Source organism: Homo sapiens, chromosome 13, assembly GCF_000001405.40.
Source record: "Homo sapiens chromosome 13, GRCh38.p14 Primary Assembly".
Lineage (NCBI taxonomy): Eukaryota > Metazoa > Chordata > Mammalia > Primates > Hominidae > Homo > Homo sapiens.
This window is the reverse complement of record NC_000013.11, coordinates 32,806,365-32,833,766: the sequence shown is the minus strand read 5'-3', so window position 1 is coordinate 32,833,766 and position 27,402 is coordinate 32,806,365. Positions and strand designations below refer to the sequence as shown.

At 41.7% G+C, this 27,402-nt stretch overlaps 1 long non-coding RNA gene across 1 annotated transcript in view, besides 1 other annotated feature; it reads left to right on the top strand.

Moving 5' to 3' along the window:
* The window catches only part of LINC00423 (long intergenic non-protein coding RNA 423), a 102,463-nt gene extending 77,886 nt beyond the window's left edge, over positions 1–24,577 (top strand). Inside the window, exon 5 of the long non-coding RNA NR_047020.1 lies at positions 24,127–24,577. This is a non-coding gene — a long non-coding RNA (long intergenic non-protein coding RNA 423). The remainder of the gene's footprint in view (positions 1–24,126) is intronic.
* Positions 12,369–12,537: a silencer, noted in NCBI's record as "fragment chr13:33395368-33395536 (GRCh37/hg19 assembly coordinates)". NCBI's record gives its function as "represses an EF-1alpha promoter that drives an FKBP-Casp9 reporter gene in an ReSE screen in HepG2 liver carcinoma cells {active_cell/tissue: HepG2}" and the evidence as "EXISTENCE:reporter gene assay evidence [ECO:0000049][PMID:32094911]".
* Positions 24,578–27,402: the final 2,825 nt, after the last annotated feature.

Below are 27,402 nucleotides of genomic sequence, written 5' to 3'. Positions count from 1 at the left end.
CACAAGAAAACTAGAATGACTATGCCAATATCAGACAAAACAGACATGAATATTTTATAACGATAAAAAGTTTCATCCATCAGGTAGATATAACAATTATAAACATATATGTACCTAATATCACAGCACCAAAATATATGAGGCAAAAACTGTCAGAAATGAAGGGAAAAATAGACAATTCAACAATAATAGTGGGAGAGTTCAACACCTCATTTTCAATAATAGATATAACAACTAGGCAACAAATGAGAAAAGAGATAGAAATTTGGACAACACTATAAATCAGTTAGGTCCAGCAGACATCTATAGAACACTACACCCAACAACAATGGAATATACTTTCTTCTCAAGTGCACATGGAACATTCTCCCATATACACCATATGCTAGACCATGAATCAAATCTTAATAAATTCAAAAGAATAAAAATAATATAAGGCATATAATCTGACCATGATTAAATGAAATTAGAAATCAGTAACAGAAAGAAATTTAGGAAATTCACAAATATGTGAAAATAAGAGAATACATTTCTCAATTAAAAAAAGGGTCAAATAAGAAATCAAAACAGAAATTAGAAAATACTTTCAGCTAAATGAAAATGAAGACACAACATGCCAAAACTCGTGGGATAGAGTGAAGGCAGTGATTTGAGGGAATTTTTAACTCTAGATGCCTATATTAAGAAAGAAGAAAAATCTAAAATCAATAACCTAACCTAAACGTCTACCTGAAGACATAGAAAAAGAAGCGAAATAAACCAAAATCAAGCAAAACTAAGGACATAATAAAGATCAGAGCAGAAATTAATGAAAGAAAATAATAGAAAAATAACAGACAAAATCAATGAAATCAAAACCTGGTTCTTCAAAAACATCAAATAAATTGATAAACCTTTAGCTATATTGACCAAGAAAAAAAGAGAAAGAAGACTCAAGTTACTAGAAACAGAAATAAAAGAGGGGACATTACTGCTAGTCTTACAGAAATAAAAGGGATTATAAAGGAATACTACAAATAATTGTATGCCAATAACTTGGATAACTTAGATGATTAATGGACAAATTCCTAGAAAGACAAACTACTGCAATTGACTTGAAAAGAAATACAAAATCTGAATAGATCTATAAGAAGTGAATAGATTAAATTAGTAATCCATAAACTATACACAAAGAAAAGCTCAAGCCTAGATGGCCTCACCATTGAAATTATACCAAACATTTGAAGAACTCAAACCAATTCTTAACAAACTCTTAAAAAACAGAGAAGAGTGCAGTGGCTCACGCCTGTAATCCCAGTACTTTGAGAGGCCGAGGCAGGTGGATCACTTGATGTCAGGAGTGCGAGACCAGCCTGGCCAACGTGGCTAAACCCTGTCTCTACTAAAAAATACAAAATTAGCCAAGCATGGTGGTGCACACCTGTAGTCTCAGCTACTCAGGGGGCTGTGGAGAGAGGGTCGCTTGAACCCGGGAGGTGGAGGTTGCAGTGAACCGAGATTGAGCCACTGCACTCCAGCCCAGGCAATAGAATAAGACTCCATCTCAAAAAAAAAAAAAAAAAAGAAAAGAAAAAGAAAAAAACCTAGAAGATGAGGGAATACTTCCCAACTCACTTATGAGGCCAGTATTACCCTGTAACTTACTTATGAGGCCTGTCATCAAAACCTATGAGCTATGTTAAAATCAAGAAATTTTCCCCTAAAAGATATCGTTAAGAGATGAAAATGCAAACCACAGAGTGGGAGAAGTTCCTTGCAGTATAAATATCCAGTCAAAGACCTATGTCCAGCATACACAAAGAATGCCTATAACCTGTTTTTAAAAGACGGTCAATTAACAGAAAAAATCCTGGGCAAAAGATTTGAACAGGTACTTCACAAAAGTAGATTTCCTAATTATGGCCTACAAACATATGAAAAGGTGCTTAACTTCATGAGTTATCAGGGAAATGCAAATTAAGATCACAATGCAATACCACTACATATACATCAAAATGGCTAAAACAAACATTACAAATTATTCCAAGTGCTGACAAGAATATGGAGCAATGGGAACTTTTATTTAATGTTGGTGGGAGTGAACTGATACAAGCGCTATGGAAATATTTGGCAATATTTACTAAGTTGAACACATATATGGCCCACGAACCAGCAATTCCACTTCTAGGTTTATTATACTCAACAGAAACGCATATATATAGACCAAAAGACACATACATGAATGCTCCTAGAAGCTGTATTTGTATTAGCCAAAAATTGGAAACAACCCTAGTGGATAGACAAATAAACTGTGGAATGTTCATACACTGGAAAATAGCAACAAGAATGAACAGTTATAACCCATAACATGAAAGAATCTCGCAACCATAATACTGAATGAATGAAACCAGATATAAAAGAGTACATACCGTATGATTCCACTTACATAAAGTTCAGACTCAGTCTATCTTTCTAGAAATCAGATAGTGGCTCTCCGTGGGGAGGGGAGGGTGACTGAGACAGGCCACTAGGGTGGGGGCGCTGGTGAAATTCGATTGCTCACTCTGAGCACTGGTTACACAAGTGTAACACAGACACAAGTGCTGTGTCTATGCATTGAGGATTTTGTATGTCTCTGTGTTGGTTATGTTTCAGTAAAAAGTTTTACTTTTCAAAGTCCCATATGCTAAAAAAAGAATAAAAAACCCAAATGCAAAAATTAAACTGAAATGACATAAAATCCAGGTCCGTAAGTGGCCCCTAACCCTTGCACCATCTGGCCTGGCTCTCTGACCTTCATGGCCTGCAGAGCTCCCCTTGCTCCCTAAGCTTGGCGACACTGCCTCCTCATTGTTCCTCAGACATAATAGACAGGCTCCCACCTCAAGGCCTCTGCCCTCACTTAGGGGTTTCCTCCCCCAGGTAACCCACACTCACTCACTGAGGTATTCAATTCTACCCAAATGCCGCCTCTTCAGAGAAGTCTTTCTGACCATCCTGCTTCCTATGACGTATCACTGCCTGCTATGATGGTGTTTCCTGCCCCTGCTATAATAAAACAACATGTGGGCAGGAACTTTTTCTATTTTATTCCCTGTGGTGTCACCAGTGCCTAGAACAGGGATTTGTTGAATAAAGAAATGAATGAAACTCTCAGTGAACGATGATTTCTTATTCATTATTGCACTCCCCCTCCCTGCCCCGAGACTACCCATAACAGATGCTCAATATGTTTAATTGCTTTGGAGCTGAATTAAGAAAATTGCATTGCCAATAAACCGTTCCGTGGGGAGACCACAACGCCTTCTGTGGACAGTATATGCTTGTTACCATTGCCATGCCGTGCTCTGAAAAACAAGGCAAAGCTCTTAAGATGTGCAGTTAGGCTGTGTATCCCTTTCTCACTTAAAAGACACAAAGCCAGCCATAAGAAGACAGATCGATGCAATGATTCAATATTGCTGTCACCTAAGGGAGTAAGAAAACAACCCTTTTGTTTGGTTGCGAGTTTCCTGCAGGGAAGAATCTTGAGTGATGGGGGAGTGAGAACACACTGGAATACTTATTTGCCGGATGACACCGGCTGCCTCAACGCCCATGCAATATTAACTCTTGGTGTCTCCAGGAGAAATGACAAAAAGTCCGTTTCTCACCATGACACTCGGTGACTCACCCAGCTTTCTTTATGTGCTGCATCACAGGTGTAAGTAAGACTTGTGGAAAGAGGGCTGATGAAGGTGCGTGCAAGGCATGTGGCTGCAAAGGCCACCTTATTCACAGCATTCAGACCCAGCAGAGGCTGACAGTGGCTGACTCACTGTGTGTCCTGCAGGGGAGGTGCTGGAGATGGAACTCAGCTTCTCAGGAATCTGCAGGTCACCCAGCAGGCATAACCCTTGCCCAGAGGAAAACAGGAGCAGGCCTGGGCCCTGACTCTTCCTCCAGGGCAGCCTTGGGCTCATGGGGAAGGAGCCTCCTCCCCAGCCACCCTTTCCCTACACCAGCGATGCAGAGAGCTCCCCACTCCTGCTGTTCTAAAACCTGCTCTGTGAAAACTGAAACTCACTCACACTGAGGCAGACATGCTGATAATAGCTTAAAGAAGTTTTTCATCTAAGGCCGAGACTGTAAACCAAAAGTAAAATTCTAAGAGGCCCAATTATCAGAATGGATCCCTCCTCTTGGCCAAGGGCATTCCAGAGTTAACCTGAAAATCTAGCTCAGGCCATGATGAAAGACGGGGGTGGACACGCCTCATTAGATCCCCCCAGCATTAACATCAACACAGACCTTAGGTCTGATGGGAAACATTTATGATCTAGTTTCTCTGGAGCCTGCTACCTAGAGGCTTCATCTGCATGATAAAACCTTGGTCTCCACAACCCCCTGTCATAACCCAGACATTCCTTTCTACTGATAATAACTCTTCTCTGCCAACTTCGAGTTGTCCCACCCTTCCAGATCAGATCGAACCAATGTACATCTCACACGTATTGACTGATGTCTCATGTCTCCCTAAAATGTACAAAAGCAAGCTGTACCCCGACCACCCTGGGCACATGTTGTCAGGACCTCCTGAGGATAAACTTTCTAAATTGATTGAGACCTGACTCAGATATTTTGGGGTTCACAAGACAGTACAGATTTCCTTGGGGAGCCTAATTGAACTCCTCATTTGGTCTCTTAAAATTATGTCTCTATCTTATTTATCTACTTTTACTGTGGTCCCATCCTTCGGTTTATTCAGACTCAACATTTGACACTTTTAACCTAGGACATGTCCAAAGTTTTACTCATTTTTATATACAGTATGGAAAGCCCGGTGCCAGGTATGCATTCCTCACAAACACGTGCGTTCCTCCTCTCCCTGACACACAGTCGAAGCGCTAACTGTGGGCTGACTTGGTGCCATGCTCATCTTCCCATGGCCATGACAGGGGAAAATGCAGTCCCCACCCAACTGGTGTCACTCTCAACCACCTCCCTCACTTCAAAACTTTCCATGGCTTCTCAGAGCTAAGGAGAATTGAACCCAAACATTCATCCTGGCATTTAAGGCAAATCCCTCAGAATAAGGGCTAGTTCCCTGTCCCCATCAATGCCAAAAATGAAAGGCTTAGAACTGGAGAACGAAGGACAAAAATTCAGATTCAAACCTTTTTTTTTTTTTTAATGGAGTTTCACTCTTGTCGCCCAGGCTGGAATGCAGTGGTGTGATCTTGGCTCACTGCAACCTCCACCTCCCGGGCTCAAGTGATTCTCCTGCCCCAGCCTCTTCAGTAGCTAGGATTACAGGTGCCCGCCACCACGCCTGGCTAATTTTTGTATTTTTAGTAGAGACAGGGTTTCACCATGTTGGCCAGGCTGGTCTCGAACTCCTGACCTCAGGAGATCTGCCCATCTCGGCCTCCCAAAGTGCTGGGATTACAGCCATGAGCCACTGCGCCTGGCCTAAAATCTGTTTATTTCTGTACTTTCCCTGAAATTTTTTAATTTGAAAAAATATATCTGGAATTTTTAGAAAAATTAATAAGATGTTTAGGGTAAAATATTCTTAATTACTTATATTTTTGTATCCTCCAATTGAGCCTTAAATGGAAAGATTCACATTAAAATATTAATAGAGTAAGAGGCAACTTTTGAAGGAGGCTTATGGCATTGGTTGTGGTGATGGTTTCACAGATATATGGTGTACTGCCTTTGCAAAAATTATAACTAAGGAAATTATGACAGTGAAAGAGACCAGACCTAACTGACTCCACCTTGCTTCGAACCTTTAAGCTGCCCTTGTTCATTCCTGGGCATAGGCTGAACTAATTTTGGGAAGAAATTCAGTTCATGGTTTGACTCTGAAACAGAATTGATAATAACCCTTTCCCAAAAAGTCCCCCTTGTTGCCTGGGGACCAGTCTGCCTTTGCAGAGGAGACAAACAGTGTTGTTTACTGTTTGCACTCAAGCACACACACACACATAGAGAGACAGAGAAAGAGATTGAGAGAGAGAGAGAAAGAGAGAGAGAAATACCAGAAATTTGTCTGGTAAGAAATTCTTACCCTTTTTGCCTGCATACTAGGTTTCCAGGTTCCCCTTCTCTGCAGCTTCCAGAAGAACGAAGCGGCTTTTGATGACCCAGTTCCCTGTGCCATAGCTATAGAGGTCAAACCACTTTATAAAAGAAAATCACTCTTTTCTCTTTTACGGAACCGTAGGCAAAAGATTCTTATTTTTGCAAGATGCTGCCCAGCAGGTTGCACGGGGAACCGAATTAACATTTTTCATCCCAGCCGAGGCAAAATACACGTAACAAACCAGACACTAGTCACCTCGTTCAGCACCCAATATCTGGCAAGGCTCAAACCGTCTCCTGTTGGTCCCTGTTGTCTTTAATCCACTCACAGTGGGGAGAGATAACCTCCCACCACAGACTCAATGGGCATCTTTAGGCAAGATAGAAGAGCAGTCACCCTGAGTTAGGCCTGCTGGACGTTCGTTCATCAGCAATTCCTTCAGGGTTCCCCTCCGCACATATAAACACACACACACACACACACACACACACACACACAGAGTAAAACGAACAGAAGGCCTTCAAGACACAAATTCCAGAACCAGTTTCAAACCAAGAGTATTCCTCCAAACAAGTCCCCTATTCTCTGTCCAATAAGACACCCTGTAACAGGGCTACAGCTATGGACACCTATAACGGGGCTACAAATAGACAGCTCATGATGGGGCTGCAGACAGATACCCCAAGAGGCTACCAAGAGACAACAGCACCTCCAGAGAGGCCAACATCTGGAGAAGAAAGGGGCTGTGGGCAGCGCCTACAATACTCAACAAATCAGACACCCCCCCATGGGGCTACAGAGAGACACCCTGCAATGGGGCTACAGACAGACACACCCTGTGATAGGGCCAGTTATGGGATGTTTCCCCAGGACTATTTCTCCACTGCAATTAAATCCATATACGTTGGGTCGGCAGTGCCCCATGGATGGAGATGGTAGCAGAGTCAGCCCCCAGTTCAAGAGAACTAGGCAGCCACTTGGGCTGGCCTCTGGATCTATTGCCAGAGAGGGGCTACCAAACCATGGTCAGGTAACCACAAGGGCAATCCCGGGAAAGCCCCCAAATTTGTAACCACCCAGTGGGTTCACCTTGCCCGCTGCCTAGACAGAGCTAATTTATCATGACGGGGGAATTTCAGTGAAGAAACAGTAATTCACACAGAGCCGGCTGTGTGGGAGACCAGGGTTTTATTATTACTCAAATCAGTCTCCCTGAGCATTTGGGGACCAGAGTTTTTTTTGTTTTGTTTTGTTTTTTGTTTTCTTGAGACAAAGTCTCCCTCTGTCGCCCAGGCTGGAGGGCAGTGGCACAATCTCAGCTCACTGCAACCTCCATCTCCCAGGTTCAAGCAAGTCTTGTGTCTCAGCCTTCTGAGTAGCTGGGACTACAGGCATGCGCCACCACACCTGGCTAACTTTTGTGTTTTTAGCAGAGACGGGGTTTCTCCATATTGGCCAGGCTGGTCTCGAACTCCTGACCTCATATGATCCACCCACCTCGGCCTCCCAAAGTGCTGAGATCACAGGTGTGAGCCACCAGGCCCGGTGTAGGGTTTTTAAAAATAATTTGGCGGGTCAGGGTCGAAGTGAGGTTTTCTTACTGTCTTCTGTTCCTAGGTGGGGTTGCAGAACTAGTTGAGCCAAATTACCAGTCTCCATGGTGTCAGCTAATCCATCAAGTGCAGGGTCTGCAAAATACTCAAGCACTGATCTTAGGTTTTACAATAATGATGTTATCTCCAGGAGCAAGGTGGGGAGATTCAGACTCCCGGAACCAGAGGTTGCACGACTCCTAAACTGTAATTTCTAATATTGTAGCTAAATTGTTAGTCCTGCAAAGGCAAACTTGTCCCCAGGCAGGAAAGAGGTCTTTTCAAGAAAGGGCTATTATCAATTTTGTTTCAGAACAAAAACAGTTAAGGAATCCATAAACTGAATTCCTTCCCAAAGTTAGTTCAGCCTACGCCCAGGAATGAACAAGGACAGCTTAAAAGTTAGAAGAAAGATGGAGTCAGTTAGGTCTGATCTCTTGCACTGTCATAATTTCCTCAGTTATAATTTTGCAAAGGCGATTTCAGTCATCCCTCAATATCTGAGGGGGATTGGTTCCAAGACCCCCAGAGATACCAAAACCTGTAGATGCTCAAGTCCCTGATATAAAATGGTATAATATTTGCATATAACCTAAGCACATCCTCCCATACACTTTAAATCATCTCTAGATTACTTATAATACCTAAATGCTATGTAGTTACTATACAGCATTGCTTTTTATTTGTATTATTTGTATATATTTTCTCCAAATATTTTTGATTCGAGTTAGTTAAATCCCCAGATGCAGAAACTGTAGATCTGGAAGGCTGATGGTACTCATCTCCAAACTCATCAGATTGTATACATTAAATATGTACAGGTTTTTATATCTCAATCATAACTCAAAAAGTGGTTTTTTTTAAAAAAAAAAAAAAGAAAGGTTTTGCATAAAATTGACACAGATATTCCATCTGAATTGGAGTTGAGTTTTGCCCAACATTCCTTACCACATTGTCCATGAAAAATCAACTGTTTGAGAATATAAATGTAATATTTGCTTCCAAATACCAAGAAAGATAAGGATAAGAATTTATTAAGAAAGATAAATAATTTGATCATTAGTTTTTTAAAGGCCTCTAAATGCCATGAGGAAGCACAAGCAAATCCCTGTAAGATTTTAGGGCAGGAAGGGATGATTTCAGGATGAGATCATCAGGGGAGACTCCAGGTGGTGATGAGCCTTTGAGCTGGGCCCTGAAGAAGAGGACGGATTTCCATAGGCAGAGACGAAGCTGTAATAGAAAGCGTCAGAGGCAGAGAAAAACCAGAGCAAAGATCGCCCGGGAAGAAAGTGCATTCCAGGGACACAAGTCATCACAAAACATCCTTCGGGACAGAGTTTGTATGAAGCAGTAGCATATGACAAGGCTCGAAAGGGAGACAGTTTTGCAAAGCCCATAGAGTTGTCATATTTCATCAAACCTAGGGCACCATAGATTATAAAGCATACCATTATGTTATGTCCCAAGGCTGCCAATTAAACTATGACAAGCATTGACTGTAAGAGGCATCCCCACTTCGAATTGCTCAAATGTACCCAAACGTGTCTTAGAATTGACAAAATTCAGGAAGTGAAGAGACTGGAGCAGTGAAGTGGGGACAAGAAGGCATAAAAGATATTTTAATAAAGCAAGCTTGGTTGGCTTAGGATAAGGAGAATTTGCTCTTATACCACAGCCATGAGCAAGGCAAACGTCTGTGGGAAATGGGACCCTAAAATTTCAGCATCCCACTCACAGTCTGTTAGCACCATGGAGAATGGCACCACTGCCCTGGGGCTGTGCAGCTTGACCCTGCCTTCTCCATCCTGCCCCAACTGTAGCAAACGTTTCACAAGCGCCTCTGCCGGGGAAGGAGAGGGCGAAAGCTCAGAAGCACAGTCTGCTGTCTTCTCCCCGGGGCGACAGTCCACGTCTCGAGAGCGCGCCGGCTCCCAGGGCTCTGCTCCCCTGTCTCACTGTGCACGGCATATGAAAACTGAAGAGGACAACGGGCTGTTTCTCAATCATGCATTTCCTAAGAGAACCAAAGGGAATTTCTTCTATTTTCGTTCTTATAATTTAAAAAAAGGACCTTAGAGTTCTGGCTTTGTAGCCCAGAGAAACCTATGGATTTAATCATCAAGAATTATCAGTAGACAGAAAGGGGTAGTTGTGGACCTTAAGGTTTGACCAGAAAACACCCCGTCTGAGCCCCCACTACCCCACTCACCCCCCAACACACACATATACACTCATACACACACATACACACACACATATACACGTGCACACACATAGACACACACACGCACACACACATATACACACACACATATACACGCACACACTTACCCACTCACACACATACAGGCACATGCATACACACACAAGTACACACATACACATATTACATGCATATGCACATATAAACACATACGTATCACATATATACACAAATACATACACATATACACATGCATGTTACATATACACACACATATACATACACACACAGTGAGACACTTGCAGGTGAAAAGCAGGTATTCTTTTTGGTTCTGAGATGTTAGGTGTCAGGAGATTTTCAGTAATAATCTGGAAATGGGTGATTTTCAATTTACTTTATGCAAGTTTTCTCCTGGCTATGCATTTGTCTACAGTGACATTAGAAGCAGCAAACCAAGGACTTACATGCATATTTCATTAGTAGATAATTACATTCCTTATAATTGGTTTCTAAATCAGACCATTTCACACAATTATGGTGTTTCCTTTGCCTATTCAGTCAATCAAAAAGATAGTAAGAAAGTTCTTTGTTATCAAAATGGCATACTCTTAACCTCTATTATGGACTGCAGGAGATAAACAAAAATAAAAATACAACAATTTTGCATACATAGAATACTCCTTGTTAAAATGCATCCTAGATACAAAAGAACGAAGGAGAACACTACAAAGATGTTTCTAAATATATCCAGAGTAACAAAATGCCAAGAGGGGAATTTGATAGTAGGGGCAGATTTTTTAAAAAAATCAATAATGAAGTCATGCTGTTTAAATGCCAAAATCATTTTTCACCCAAATGAAAAAAGAAAATTGGGCCATAATGACAGCCGCAAAATAGCTCCTAACAAAGGAGCTACAGGAGCCTGTACTTGGAAAAATCTAAGTGTATTTATTCCTGCATTGATTCCACAAACATTTCCTGAGCACTGTGCTAGGTGCCGAGGACAAAGCAGTGAGTAAAACAGTCTCAGCACCACTGGAGCTTCCTGCTCACCCCAAGCTCACACACAGGCACACACTCACACACTCATACATTCATACACACACACACACGACTTCATGAGCCAGCACACTGGTGGCGTGTGGAGAAGTTCTCAGCAAGGTGGTGTAAGGCAGCAGTGAAAAAGCATAATTTGTGTAAATCCCACCTTTACTAAGTAACCTTGGGTGACTAGCTAACTCTTTGTGCCTCAGTTTTATCGTCCGTAAAATGGAGATAATTCAAATACACCTACTCACACAGTGTTGCAAGGATTCCACAAATTAATACACGTAAGCACCTAAAACAGTGCTTGGTGTAACATAATCAGCACTATAAGTGTTAGCTCTTACAATATTATCCTTTCCAGCTTCTTCTCAGCTCTCCTCCAGGGTGTAAAAATGCTGGCCTGGAGCTTCCTAGGGACCCGCTGGCCATTTTTAACTCTCTCCAGTCCTCTGGGCCCACCCGCAATGACTCCTGGGTGAAAACTCTAAAGCCCCGGCCTTGGTCAATGGCAGGTGCTCAATCCATGTTATTCTCACCCGCTTTCTACTTCTTCCTTAAAATACTGCCACCTCCCAACAGCAGCACAAGGGGCTCCACTGCCAGGATTTCATCATCCCTCCATCCCCATTTGGGGACGGGAGACTATGTTCATCGATAGAATTTTCTTAATTTAAAATTGCCCCCACTCACGCCTGTAATCCCAGCACTTTGGTATTATATAAATGATTTATAAATGATATAATTCAGATGTCATCATTTTCCAGACAGGTTTGAGGGCCACTGTTGAAAGGGTGGTGATGGATGTCAGGGGTGTGGTTCCCGTGGGCATTTTGTGCTGCAAAGGAAAGAAGGAGAGGAAGAGTTAGGAAAAATCTGAGATTATGAAAAGCAGCAACATTTGGGGGTTGTTTGAAGAAGTGAGGAAAATTTTAGGGATCAAAATTTTAGGGACAGGTGAAGCTGGCGGGCGTAATAAGGACTTCCAAAATGCCTTTACCAGCCACAGCAGTGGCCAGTGCTCAGAAAAGGCAACCAACGCTGAGCAAGGCTGCTGCCAAGCCCCAGGGATGAACCGCTGGCGAAGGTGAAATGGCCTCGAACAGCCAGGGGGACTTGTCTATGTTCCAAGCTCCCTCAAGGGCTCCAGGGGGACTCCTCAGCCGGTCCTCATCCCCCTGCATCCACCACCCAGAGAGGACACAAAGACACAGCAAAAGCGCCCTGCCCGAAGGATGAAGGAAGAAAAGAATGAAGTTGCAACTTTACGGCATTTTGCTCTCAGGATCCAGTGTAGACCGTTCAGCTTGTTCAAAGACAAAGCTTGAGGTATAGAGAGAGTAAAAGAGCCCATAGGAAATGCACGCAGCCATGCTTTGAGGGCTCCCTGCAGAGGCTTCCCGAGATCAGGACACTGCTGTGGATTTGGAGAATGTCGGGTATTGGCACACCGGCTCCCAGTGCCTGCCTTGGGGCATTCACTTTGTCCTTCACCTTGGCACAAGGCACTCTGGCCTCTGGCCACTTTCCTGCCACCAAAGGTTCATTGTCCCTTTAAGTACCACCCAGCTTCCTCTAGTCCTCAAGGCTGCCGGCTTCATTTGGCCCACCACGCCCTGCTCCGGCCACTCTTTTCCCTACGCTACCCCCAGTTCTGACCCATGCTTCGTTTGTTTCTCAGCTCCTGTTTTAGTCGAGGAATGAAATTGAGACTTTTTTTTTTTTTTTGAGATGGAGTCTTGCTCTGTTGCCCAGGCTTGAGTGCAGTGACACAATCTCGGCTCACTGCAACCTCCACCTCCTGGGTTCAAGCAATTCTCCTGCCTCTCCTGCCTCAGCCTCCTGGGTAGCTGGGATTACAGGCGCTCGCCACGATGCCCAGCTAATTTTTGTGTTTTTAGTAGAGACGAGGTTTCACCATGTTCCCAGGCTGGTCTCGAATTCCTGACCCCATGATCCGCCCACCTTGGCCTCCCAAAGTGCTGGGATTACAGGTGTGAGCCACCACACCCAGCTGAGACTCTTAATTAAAAACAATTAAAAACAAACAAGCAAAAAAACCCCATGGCTTTGTACACCTAAGTGGGTCTTCCCACCCTAGCCCTTTTGCAGTGACACTCTTATTCCAGTGATGCTGCACTTGCCTAAAGCAATGTCAGCTGTCCTCTATGGATTTGCCTTCACATGTGTATCAGCCACACAAAAAACCATGCATCTCCACGGGGCACAGTGGCTCACACCCTTAATCCCAGCACTTTGGGAGGCCAAGATGAGTGGATGACCTGAAGTCAGGAGTTCGAGACCAGCCTGGCCAATGTGGCAAAACCCTGTCTCTACTAAAAATACAAAAATTAGCCAGCGTGGTGGCAGGTGCCTGTAATCCCAGCTACTTGGGAGGCTGAGGCAGGAGAATCTCTTAAACCTGGAAGGCGGAGGAGGTTGCAGTGAGCCAAGACCATGCCATTGCACTCCAGCCTGGGCAACAAGAGTGAAATTCGGTCTCAAAAAAAAAAAAAAAAAGAGCATGCATCTCATTGTGTTGTATCAGAAACAAACTCACCCTAGATGGATGCAAAACAAAACAAAAAGGCACTGCACTTGGAATCCAAAAACCTGGCTTTTTGTCTTAGATTCGCTACCTGCTAACTTTGTCAGTCCAGACTCAAACACACGAGGCCTCTGGCCCTTCATTTCTGAAGGCAAATAGTATTATCTGCTCCCATTTGGAGGATTTTTGTGAGGATCAAATCAGTAACTATATAAGGAAGCACATGTAATGCCACAGAGAATCATATTAGATTTTTTTAATATTTTAAAAATATTTTTCTCTCCTCTTCTCCCAATTCACTTGCCAACTGTCTGCTCACTTCTGCTCTTTGGAGAAAACATTCATACATTCATTCATTCATTAAAGAAAGATGTATTACATCCCCACTATGTGCTTGGAACACAAAGATAAAATGCATTCACTCTGTCCTCAAGAAGCCCATAGAAGAAAGAAGTAGGCAGATAGGTTTGTGAATGGATGAATGACTAACGTAGTAAATCGATGAGTGAGGATTGAATGAGAGTCTTAAGAAAGGTACCTACATGTGCTAGGACGTGTCTAGTTGTGCAAATGTGTGTATGAGGGCAGGAGAGTCAGTGAAAATTTTAAAAAGAAGAGAGATGATAGAACTGAATTTATTCTTTTTTTCCAGCTTTATTGAGGTATGATTAACAAAAATTGTGTGTATTTAAGGTGTACAATGTGATGTTCTGATATATGTATACATGGTAAGATGATTACCCCAGTCAAATCCATCACTTCTGGCCGAGTATGGTGGCTCACGCCTGTAATCCCAGCACTTTGGGAGAAGAGGCAGGTGGATCACCTGAGGTCAGGAGTTCAAGACCAGCCTAACCAACATTGTGAAACCCCGTCTCTACTAAAAACACAAAAATTAGCCAGACATGGTGGTTGGCGCCTGTAATCCCAGCTACTCAGAAGACAGAGGCAGCAGAATTGCTTGATGGGAGGCGGAGGTTGCAGTGAGCCAAGATCATGCCATTGCACTCCAGCCTGGGCAACAAGAGTGAAACACCCTCTCAAAAAAAAATAAAAAATAAATAAACTAAAATAAAATAAATCCATCACTTCACATAGTGTCCTTTTTGCGTGTGCCTGGTAACACAAGATCTACTCCCTGAGAGAATTTCAAGTGTACAATACACTATTATTAGCTGTAGTCATTGTGCTGTACTTTAGGTATCCAGAACTTATTCATCTTAGGACAGAAAGTTTGTACCCTTAATCCCTACCCCACCTGTAATCACTCAGCCCTGGTAACCACCATTCTACTCTCTGTTACCATGAGTTCAATTTTTTTTTCCTAAGATTCCACATGTAAGTGAAATCCTGCAATATTTGTCTTTCTGGGTCTGGCTTATATCACTTAGCATAACAACCTCATGTCAATCCATGCTGTCACAAATGTCAGGGTAGCTTTCTGTTGGCTGAATAATATTCCATTATATATACAATGTATATGTATATATAAAATGAAATATGTATACACACACACACTACATTTTCTTTATCCATTCATCCACTGACTAATATTTATGTTGTTTCCAAATCTTGGCCTCTGTGAATAATGCTGAGATGAACATGAGGGTGCAGATATTTCTTCAAGATAGTAATTTCATTTCCTTTGGATATATACTCAGACGTGGGATTGTTGGATCACAGGGTAGTTCTATTTTTAAGCTTCTGCGATATCTCCACGCTGTTTTTCATAATGGCTGCACCAATTTACGTTCCTACCAAAAATGTATAAGGGATCCCTTTCCTCCACATCCTCACTGACACTTAACTTTTAATGTTTTTGTAATAGCCATCCTACAGGTATGAAGTGACATATCATTGTGGTTTTGATTTCTATTTCACTGATGATTAGTGACATCTTTACATATACCTCTTTCCTATTTATATGTCTTCTTTGGAAAAATATCTACTCAGGTCCTTTGCACATTTTTTATTGGGTGATTTGGCTTTTGTTACTACTGAGTTGTATGAGTCCTCGTGTACCTTAAGACATTAATTCCTTGTTGGAAACATGGTTTGCAAATATTTTTCCCATCCTATAGGCTGCTTTTCATTTTGTTGATTGTTTCCTTTGCTGTGCTTTATGTACCCTTTGTGACTTTTTAGTTTAATGTGGTTCTATCTGTTTAGTTTTGCTTTTGTTGCCTGTGCTTTTGGTGTCAAATCAAAAAAATTCATTGCCAAGACTATTATCAAGGAACTTTTCCCGTATGTTTTCTTCCAGGAGTTTTACAGTTTTAGGTCTTACCTTCAACTCCTTACTCCATTTTGAGTTGATTTTTGTGTGTGTTGTAAGATAGAGGCTTGGCTGGGCACAGTGGCTCACGCCTGTAATCCCAGCACTTTGGGAGGCCAAGGTGGGCGGATCACAAGGTCACAAGATCAAGACCATCCTGGCCAACATGGTGAAATCCCATCTCTACTAAAAATACAAAAATTAGCTGGACGTGGTGGTGCACACCTGTAGTCCCAGCTACTTGGGAGGCTGAGGCAGGAGAATTTCTTGAACCCGCAAGGCGGAGGTGCCACTGCACTCCAGCCTGGCGACAGAGAGAGACTCTGTCTCAAAAAAAAAAAAAAAAAAAAAAGATAACGGCTCGATTTCATTCTTTTGCATGTGGATATTCCATTTTCCCAGCATCAAAATTTATGAAAGAGATTATCCTTTCCTCATTGTGTATTCTTTGTGCCTTTATTGATAATTACTTTACTGCATATTTATGGGTTTATTTCTGGGCTGTCTACTCTACTGGTCTATACGTCTGAGGTTTTTGGGGGGGGTGTAGTAGTAGCATATTGTTTTGATTACTATAGCTTCATAACATAATTTAAAATCTAGTTTTGTTCTTTTTGTCAAAAGTGTTTTGGTTATTTGGGGTCTTTTGTGGTTCCATATCAATTTAAGAATTTTTTTTTCTATTCCTATGAAAAATGTCATTGGAATTTTGATGGAAATTGCATTGAATCTGTAGATGGCTTTCAGTAGTATGGCCATTTTAACAATATTAATTATTTCAATCCATGAACATGATGTCTTTCCATTTATTTGTGTCTTCTTCAATTTCCTTCATCAATGTTTTATAGTTCTCAGTGTACAGATGTTTTGCCTCCTTCATTAAATTTACTCCTAAGTATTTTATTCTTTTTAATGTTATTATGAATGGGATTGTTTTCTTAATTTCCTTGTTGGATACGTTCTTGTTACTGTACAGAAACACTACTGATTTTTATATGTTGATTTTGTATCCTGCAACTTTACTGAATTTGTTTACTAGTTTAATAGTTTTTTGATAGAGTCTTTTTATTACTTTCTATTACTAGTTGATCTCATCACTTGTTATTGGTCTGTTCAGATTTTTTATTTCTTCAGAATTCTAAGTAGGTTATATATACCTACATGGGTACATATAGAAATGTACCTGAAGAAATCTATCCATTTCTTCTAGGTTATCAAATTTGTTGCATATAATTGCTCAGAGTAAACTCTTATAATCTTCTGTATTTCTGTGTGCCAGCTGTAATGTCACCTCTTTCATTTTTGATTTTATTTATTTGAGTCTTCTCTTTTTTTCTTAGTCTAGCTAAAGTTTTGTCAATTTCATCTTTTCAAAAGCCCCACCCTTGGTTTCATTGATCTTTTTTTTACTGTTTGTTTTTCTAGCCTCTATTTCATTTATTTCTATTCAGATCTTTATTATTTCCTTCCTTCTGCTGACTTTGGGCTTCTTTTTCTCTTCTATTTCTAGTTTCTTGAAATGTAAAGTTAAATTATTTGTTTGAGATTTTTCTTTTTTCATAATGTAGGCATTTGTCACTATAAACGTCCTTTGTAGAATTGTTTTTGCTACATTTCATAAGTTTTGGTGTGTTGTATTTTCATTTTTATTTATTTCAAAAATTTTTTTAATTTCCCTTTTGATTTCTTCTTTGACCCATTGGTTATTTAGAAGTGTTTTTACTTTCCATGTACTTGTGAATTTTCAAATTTTCTTCCTGTTGTTGATTTTTAATTTCATAGCATTGTGGTCAGAAAAGATATTTGATAAAAATTCATTTGTAGCCTAACATATGATCTATCCTAGGAATATTCCATGCAAGCTTGAGAAGAATGGGTATTCTGCTGTTGTTGAATGGCATGTTCTGCATATATCTGCTTAGTACATTTGGTCTAAAGCAAGCTTGTCCAACCCACAACCAGCAGGCCACATGTAGCCCAGGATGGCTTTGAATGTGGCCCAACACAAATTCGCAAACTTTCTTAAAACATTATGAAATTTTTTTGTGTGATTTTTTTTTAGCTCATCAGTTATCATTATTGTTAGTGTATTTTATGTGTGGCCCAAGACAATTCTTCTTTTTCCAATATGGCCTAGGAAAGCCAAAAGATTGGACACCCCTTGTCTAAAGTGTAGTTCAAGTCCAATGTGTCCTTATTAGTATTCTGCCTAGATGGTCTACCCACTGTTGAAAGTGGTGTATTAAAGTCATCTACTATTATTTCATTGCTCTCCATTTCTCCCTTCAGATCTCTTAATATTCGCTTTATATATTTAGGTGCTCCAGTGTTGGATGTGTATATATTTATAATTATTATGTCTTCTTCATAAATTGACCCCTTTATCATTACATATTGACATTTCTGTCTCTTCTTACAGTTTTTGACTAAAAGTCTATTTTGTCTGATATAACTACCTCTTCCCTCTCTTGCTTTCCAGTTGCATGGAATATCTTTTTCAACCTATTTGTATCCTTAAAGCTAAGATGAAACTCTTGTAGACAGCATATTATTGGATCTTATTTTTTAAATCCTATGTCTATTGATTAGAGAATTTAATCCATTCACATTTAAAGTAATTATTGATAGGCAAGAACTAACTATTGTCATTTATTGTGCCAAGAGGTCCCTTTGGCCAGAACCTCCCCTATAATCTTCACTAATGCTCACCTCAGCTGACAGAACTGTAGAGAGGTAGGGGTCCTCAGTGGCCAAGGCTGCAGGTGTCTACAAAGACAGCAAGGGCTTATGGGGTGGTGAAGGATGCTGGGGTCTTCCTGATCTCTTCTCCCACAGGTGAAGTTGTGACAGATCCCTCTTGAAGCCAGAGCCAGCTCACAGGCATGCTCATGGTGGCAGTGGCACTACTGTCTGGTGTGCAGCACCTGTGAAGTATCCACAGGGCCAAGGTTGGGAATTCAGGTACTTGTGGAAGAACCATGGCCCCTGGGTTTGAGGCAGCAGTGGCACTGGTGCCTGGGATGCAGGCGCCACCCCCTCCTCCACTGCAGTGTTGGAGATGGTGTGCCAGGAATGGGTGTTAGTACAGCAGCTGAGGAGCCAGGGTCTGGGGCGTGGGCTACAGTAGCTCCAGGGTCTAGAATGCAGTCTATAGCCCACCATGACAGCAATTCTGTTGTCTGAAGCACTACTAAAAAGTCCAAAAATAACAGCTGCTGGCAAGGCTATGGAGAAAAGAGGATGCTAATATACTGTTGCTGGAAACATGAATTACTTCAGCCAATGTGTAAAGCAGTGTGGAGATTTCTCAAGGAACTTAGAGCAAGCCCATGACTGGGTATATATCCAAAAATAAATAAATCGTTCTACCAAAAAGACACATGCGTTCATTATGTTCATTGCTTCACTATTCACAATAGCAAAGACATGGAATCAACCTAGGTGCCCATCAACGGTGGACTGGATGAAGAAAATGAAGTACATATACAGCAGGGAATACTATGCAGCCATTAAAAAGAAGGAATTCATGTCCTTTGCAGCAACATGGATGCAGCTGGAGGCTATTATTAATGCAGGAGCAAAAAACCAAATACCACATATTCTCACTTATGAGTGGGAGCTAAATATCGGGTACTCATAGACATAAAGATGGCAACTATAGACACTGGGAACTAATACAGGGGGAGGGAGAAGAAGGACAACAGTTGTAAAACTAATTATTGGGGACTATGCTCACTACTTGGAGGATAGGGTCAACTATGAACCCCAAACACCAGCATCATGCAATATACACAAGTAACAAACCTGCACATGTACGCCCTGAATCTAAAATAAAAGTTGACTTAAGAAAAAAAAAAGTATCACCTCTTAAAAGGTGCTACTTTCATGTGAGCTAGATATTTGAATTTTGTTAAGGGAGTGGGATTGGTTTTTTGGTTTGTTTGTTTGTTTGTTTGTTTTTCTGAGAGTCTCGCTGTGTCACGCTGGCTGGTGTGCTGTGGCTCACTGCAGCCTCAACCTCCCAGGCTCAAGTGATCCTCCTATCTCAGCCTCCCGAAAAGCTGGGACCACAGGTGCACACCACCATACCCAGCTAACTTTGTAGTGAGGGGGTGCTCCTTATGTTGCCCAGGCTGGTTTCAAACTCCTGGTCTCAAGCAATCCTCTTGTCTTGGCCTCCCAAAGCACGGGGACACTGGGATTCCAATGTGAGCCACTGCACCCAGCTGAGCTGATATCTGAAGGGTGACAGGCAGGCATATGAAGAGCTGAAGCTCTAGGGAAAGAGAGTTCCGAGCAAAGGGAATCACAGGTGCAATAGCCCAGAGGCAGAACAAGTCTGGGGTGTTCTAGGGAAGAGAGACTATAACTGGAGCTGGGGGCCAGGGAAAGGAGGAATAAAGTGAGGTCTGAGAGTAGAAAGTACCAGGTTGTGCAGGGCCGTTAGGCCATGGCAAAGAGTGTGAATTTATTCCAAGTGCAGTGGGAAGCCACTGAGGAAATCAGGGTAGGGGTGAGAGTGACAGAATCAGATCTGCATTTTAAAAATATTAAGTCTTAAATCTTTCCCATTTTTGTGGATTTATTAGTAAAGCCAGGAAACATGTTAAAAGGCTATGGCTGTGCTTGCCTTGGCAGCACATGAACTAAAACTGGAACAATACAGAGATGAATATGGCCCCCTGTGTTAAGAGCCTGCAGCTAAACGTGCTTTTTCTGATTCCAGAGCCTATGCCTTTTCACCTGTTCTGGAAGATGCAGCTCCTTGCAGGTCATTCCAAAGTAAAAAAGTTACCGCCCGTTTATAAGTATGCTAGAGAACCGTTCTTCAGAGAGGGCCATTTTCAAAGTGCTGGCCAAAAAATGTTACTCTTATTCAAAATCAAAAGAATAAAAACTGCTACACAGGCAGGAACAGGTTCTTTTTGCCTCTACCTTTCAACATGATCAATGTAATATGCTCAAAAGTCCGCAAGTCTCATAGGTACTTTCTGGTGAGTTCAAAGATGGCTGACTCTGCTGCACAGAGCAATGTTGCTTGACATTTACAGTACTGGCTCATCTTTGCAAACAAATCGACATTGCAGTTGAGTTGAAGTGTCCATGGCACGGTTGTCTGCATGGTGTTGGGCTGTCTAGGCTGGCTCTGATCCTCTGGATATAAGAACGTGCGTTTTACATGGGACCAGAAGATCAAGATAGGTAAGTCCTGCCAACTCATGAAAGGCCATCAGTCCACAAGAAAGGGCAGAGAGCAGGGTAGGAGTTCAGGAGAAAGGCAATCTTTAAAGTGTCCTTCACTCCTGGACCAGCCCAAACTATTCTGGGTATTTCTTTTCCTTTTTTATTCTTTTTTTTTCCAGTAGATGATACAGCTTTGCAATGCAATCTTCGCTGGTACAAAAGCATACTTGTGTGTTGCTGAGCCTGAGTGATGTACTATATGGGAAAACCACCAGTGCAAAGAAGATATTAATTCATGTACACCCTATGAAGCAATTTCATGCTTTTATAAGTTTAATGTTATTACAATTGGGTCCAGCTTTTGCTGTAATTCTTTTCTCAGAAGGGGCATTATAATGTGCTGTCTAGGAGCCTATTTTATCCCGTAGCCGTTATAAGCTAACTTAACTACATTAAGATCACGTTAAGAACGTATCTAGTAACATAAAAGAAAATCAAAACTAAAAGCAGGAAATGCTCTGGATACTGAAATTTACCATTAAATACATGGCCACCTCCTTCAGCAAACACACACATACACACACTGCAGGGGACTGTTACTTCCATTTCATCAATAAACTGAATAATAAATTCAGTATTTCCAATAAATTGAAAAGTGAATTATAATGAAACTGGGTATCTGTTCCCCCAAAGGTTGATGAGTACTCACTTAGAAAAGGCCACTTAGTTCGTCCTCTGTCTCTAGAGAGAGTTACTCCATTTCTAAGGATCTCAGTTTCCATCAGTAACCTGTACTCATTCAGTCAGCCTTTGCTGAAGACCTACTACGTGATTCTCAGGCCCCGTGGGGTCCCTGTCCCACCTGTGCCGCAGTAGACATGCAGTAATGAGTGAGCACTGCCGGCTGCAGGAGCTGCAGAGATGCCCACTGGAGTGTCCCCCAGGAATGACACACATTGCATTTCCCTACAACAGAAGATCCAATTCAGAAGTTTTGTTTTTGTTTAATTAAAGAAAAAAGATGCTGAATACAAAGCACCCTTCCTGTGGCTAAAGCAGGGATGCAATAGAGAGGCAGCTGATTGCAGGTCAGAGACTAGAAAGGAGCAGCAGGTCCCAGGAATGGGTGTTGTTTTGTTTGTAAAGCCATTCCCAGGTTATGTGACACTAGCAACAGCCCTGGGTGGTTGATTCAGTGAACACAGATCGAGAGTAAGTGGAGGCCAAGACAAATGACAACAAAGTCTCAAAAGGAGGAAGCAACTTGCTGGGCGAGATCAGCACAGAACAGCACTGCTCCCACGTCAGGGAGCTCACAGAGGAGCAGGCTGGACAGGATCCACACTGACGAAGGCGCCCTCCAGCTCTCTCATGAGAGAGATGGAAGGTGACATGTGAACCCCGCTGCATCTTATTTATGGTTTGCTGTGTCTAATTATGGTTGAGAGAGTATGTGTGTGTGTGTAACATAAACCGCAAAGAGATCTTATTTCCTAGTTTGGGTTCTGTCACATTGAAGTAATTTTTCTGTGACTTTATAGAGTTCTGTGGTTAAAACCCATCCAAGTACTGTGATAAATAACTGCCTGACCTGGGGGACCTGCAGGGGACCCTGGTGATGGCCAGCTGTGCTTTTCTTTTCTTTTCTTTTCTTTTTTTTTTTTTTTGAGACAGATCCTCACTGTCTCCAGGTTGGAGTGCAGTGGCACGATCTTGGCTTACTGCAACCTCCGCCTCCCGGGTTCAAGCAATCCTCCTGCCTCAGCTTCCTGAGTAGCTGGGACTACAGGTGCACACCACCACATCCAGCTAAGTTTTCGTATTTTTAGTAGAGACAGGTTTCACCGTGTTGGGCAGGATGGTCTTGATCTCTCGACCTCATGATCCGCCTGCCTTAGCCTCCCAAAGTGCTGGGATTACAGGCGTAAGCCACCGCACCTGGTCTAGCCCTGCTTTTCTAAGATAACCCACACAGCTATAAGTGTCAAAAGGGGTGGTTCCCATTGGTCTGAACCATGGTAGGTCGCCATGGTACTAGATAGGATGCCAAAAGCACAAAAGAAAAGATAGGTAAACTTCATTAAAACTAACAACTTTTGTGCTTCAAAGGACAACATGAAGAAATTGAAAAGACAATGTACAAGACAGTAGAAAATATTTGAAAATCCTATATCTAATAAGGGACTTATAACTAGAATATAGAAAGAACTCTTACAACTCAACAAAATAACCTAGTTTTAGAATAGGCAAAGGACCTCAATAGATATTTCTTGAAAGACAGATAAATGATCAATGAGCCAATGAAAAGATGCTCAACGTCGTTAGTCATCGGGGAAATGCAAATCAAAACCACACCGAGACACCACTTCACATCCACTGAAATAGCTATACTCAAAAAGACAGACAATAACAAATGTTGGTAAGGATGTGGAAAAATTGAAACCCTCATACATGGATAGTGGAAATGGAAAATGGTGCAGCCAGCACTTTGGGAGGCTGAGGTGGGTGGATCATGAGGTCAAGAGACCGAGACCGTCCTGGCCAACATGGTGAAACCCCGTCTCTACTAAAAAATACAAAAAATTAGCCAGGCATGGTGGCGGGCGCCTGTAGTCCCAGCTACTCAGGAGGCTGAGGCAGGAGAATGGCGTGAACCCGGGAGGCGGAGCTTGCAGTGAGCCCAGATGGCGCCACTCCAGCCTGGGCGACAGAGCGAGACTCCGTCTAAATAAATAAATAAATAAACAAACAGTTTGGCAATTCCTCAAATTGCTGTGACATGTGACACAGCATTTCTACTCTTAGGTATACACCCAAGAGAACTGAAGACACTTGTCCACATAAAGCCTGTAAATGAATGTTCAGAGCAGCCTTATTCATAACAGCGACAATGTAGACAAACCAAATGCTCGTTAATTAATGATGGATAAACAAACTGTGGTTCTGATAGACTGAATAGTGGCCTCCAGTGGCCCTAACCCCTGGAACCTGTGGTTGTTATCTTATATGGCAAAAGCACTCTGCAGATGGGATCACGTTAAGAATTTTTTTCCAGTCAAGGTTTTATTCCGCCACCCAAGCATGGAGTGTAGTGGCGCCATCTTGGCTCACTGCAGCCTCAACCTCTGGGGCTCAAGCAGTCCTTCCACCTTGGCCTCCCAAGTTGCTGGGACTACAGTTGCATGCCACCACACCTGGCTATTTTTTTTTTTTTTTTTTTCCTTATAGAGATGTTTCCCAGTATGGTCTTGAATTCCTCAGCTCAAGCGACCCTCCTGCCACAGCCTCCCAAAGTTCTGGGATTACAGGCATGACCCACCATGCCTGGCTACCTTGAGGACCTTAAAAGAGGGAGCATATCCTGAATTATCCAGGTGGACCCAATGTAATCTGAAGGGTCCCCATATGAGGGAGGTAGAGGAGGATTTGACTACAGAACAGAAGGCAATGTGACAACTGAAGCAAAATGCTACATGCTGGCTTGGAGGATGGAGGAAGGAGCCATAAGCCAAGGAATGCCAGCAGTCACTGGGAGCTGAAAAAGGTGAAGAAATGGACTCTCCCCGAGCCTGTAGAGCAAGTATGGCCCTATTGACCCTTGATCTCAGCCAAGAGAAATTGATTTCAGACTTCTGACCCCCAGAACTGTACGGCAATAAATGTGTGCTGTTTTAAGCAACCAATTTTGTGGTAATTTGTTATAGCAGCCATGGGAAACTAATTCAGTGGTACATCCACACAATGGAAGTATTGATACAGGCTATACAATACAGATGAATCTTAAAAGTATTGTGCTAAGTGAGAGAAGCCAAGCACAAAAAAACATGTATTTATGATTCCGTTTATATGCTATATTCGGAATAGGCAAATCCATAGAGACAGAAAGTAAATTAGTACTTGCCACGGGCTGAGGGAAGGGAAAAGTGAGTATGAGGTTTCTTCTAGAGGTGATAAAAATGTTTTGCAGTAAAACTGGTGATTAATGCAGCATTTTGTGAATATACTAAAATCCACTGAACTGTACATTTTTCAGAAACTGAACTTCATGGTATTAAATGTTCTTAAAAAATCAAAAGCCCAAGCTCAACATAACAAAAATTACCTAGGACTAATTGAACTAAATGAACTGTTTTCATTATGATTAATATTTTATTTGAATCTACATTAGAAAAAAGTTATTCTTAATCTATCCTTCACCCTCAGTTTAACAGATTATAATCTACTCACACACTAGAATAAAGCACTCTTTACCTAGTATTTTGTCCCAGAGGAACTGTCAAAATTCAAAAGAAAAAAATCCCACGAGCGATCTTCTCCCATGAGATATAAATTGTAAGCTAATATGTCATCAAGACAATTTTAAAATAACAATTTTGTAGAGTATGACATACATTCATTGGCCTTGTCAACAAAACAATAATAACAAAGATTAAATAATGTGGATAGTGCCCTTTTTAATTTATTTTTCACTATGAAATTTTCTATTTCATAAATTTAAAAAAAATAGCTAAAGAAATTGATATAGCTTATTCACCACTGGGGGGAATTAATACTTATGATCATTTCCCTTTCTTACCAGAATATAATTGGGTATTGCCTATGCCAAAAGTTCCTTTTAATTAGATGTGATAAGCTCACTATTACAGAACAAAGCCTATATTTTACATGTGGGAATGACATCTACAAAGTCTCCCTAGGAAACTCATCCACTAGATGACTTGTGATATTAGGACTCACAGACAGTAAATTCATTTCCTAGCAGGCCAGAAATATTAACAAATATGAGGATCTCAGAGAAAATAGTGCTAATAACAATGATAAAAATTATTCTCACACATATAAGAAATTTACCCCTCTGGGAACTGTGCAAAGCCTCCAGAAAAAAGTTCATTCTAAAGCTTCAATATCATGTGGCTCTAGCTTTGTTAGCCATACCAAAAAAAAGGTATTTATTTATTAGTTAACACCTCTTATTATGTCTATATGAATAAACTTGTGAAATAAAACAAGATAGCAGTTAAATAGGAGCCATGATAGTTTTATTCCTCTTACCAGTAACAGGTGAGGGCATGGGGCATACAACTCTGGTCATTGAAATACTAAGAAAAATCTGGTGGTTGGGGAGGGCAGTACAAAAAGGGTATTTTTTTTTAACAACAACACACACACACACACACACACACAGGAAAATCCCCCTTCTGCTGCTGACATGATCACAATAACATGTGATGACTGAGCTGCTGCAGCCATTTTGCAATGATGAGGACAAGCAAGGATGCTGAGACGTTTGAACTTGGATTATTACTTTACCCACCCCGGGTTCTCAATGATGTGTTTAGTTCATGAGTCAGTCAACATTGGAGCCAGACTTCTTGTTATATGTGATACATCTTCTTTTTGTTTAAGCCAATTGAGTTGGGAGTTTTCTTTTTCTTGCAGCCAAACCAGACTTTCTACTAAAGACCTCAGTAACTATTCTACTACCACCAAGATTCTGGTGTTCAGAGCATGCAAGCCAGGTAAACAGCACCAATAATAAAAGTGTCCTGGACATTTATACATGCTCTTGGAGATTTTACAAAAGATAAATATGGATATAGATATAGACTTAAAAGGAGAGAGTGTTTCAGGGTACATATATGGCATTAAAATAGTGTGGCCCAAAAGACAGCCGCTGGATCCAGGTAGAAAAGATTCCCAGCATCTCCAGGGAACAGGGAAGAGGAAAGGTGAACTAACGAATGATCCCAAGGGTCATGGTTAGAGGAAAAGTTCTGACGAGAAAAGTCATGCTACAGAGAGGCATCTTCGGAAACATATAGCAGTTCATCCTGTGCCAAGGTCATAGGTGACATGAAGCTGCACTTCTGTAATGCATGACAGCGTGATACAGCCCAAAGCCTGAGGTTCCCACATGGTATAACAGTTGCACGCCTCAAGAGAGCTGACTGCACGCTGAGTGCCCAACGGCAAGAAGGTGAAATGTAGACATATTCAGCAACAGTTGGAGACATCCGCCCATATCATTTTTCATCCACAGGGTTGAAGAGCAGAGAGTGATTCAGAGGGACACAAGTGGGCATCTAATGAAGAGAGTTGCCGTAGGGCTGCCTCTCAGCACAAGAACAATCTTCTTTTACATGACATGGTCATCTCATCTACCACTAACAACCCTAGCAATTCTTCTGTATTTGTATGTAATGAATCCTTTCTCAGTTTTGTTTCAGGGAAATCATTTTTTTCTTACTGGGAAGATACATTACAGACTACCAGGTCTCATCAGCCATTTCACACATAAGGAAACTGAGGCCAAAAAAGGTCTGGGGAATTTTTCAGGATCTCAAGCCAGTGCTAGAACCTCCATCTTTTCACTCTTTTTTGTTGTTGTTGAGATGGAGTCTCACTCTGTCACCCAGGCTGGAGTGCAGTGGCACGATCTCAGCTCACTGCAAGCTCTGCCTCCCAGGTTCACGCCATTCTCCCGCCTCAGCCTCCCCAGTAGCT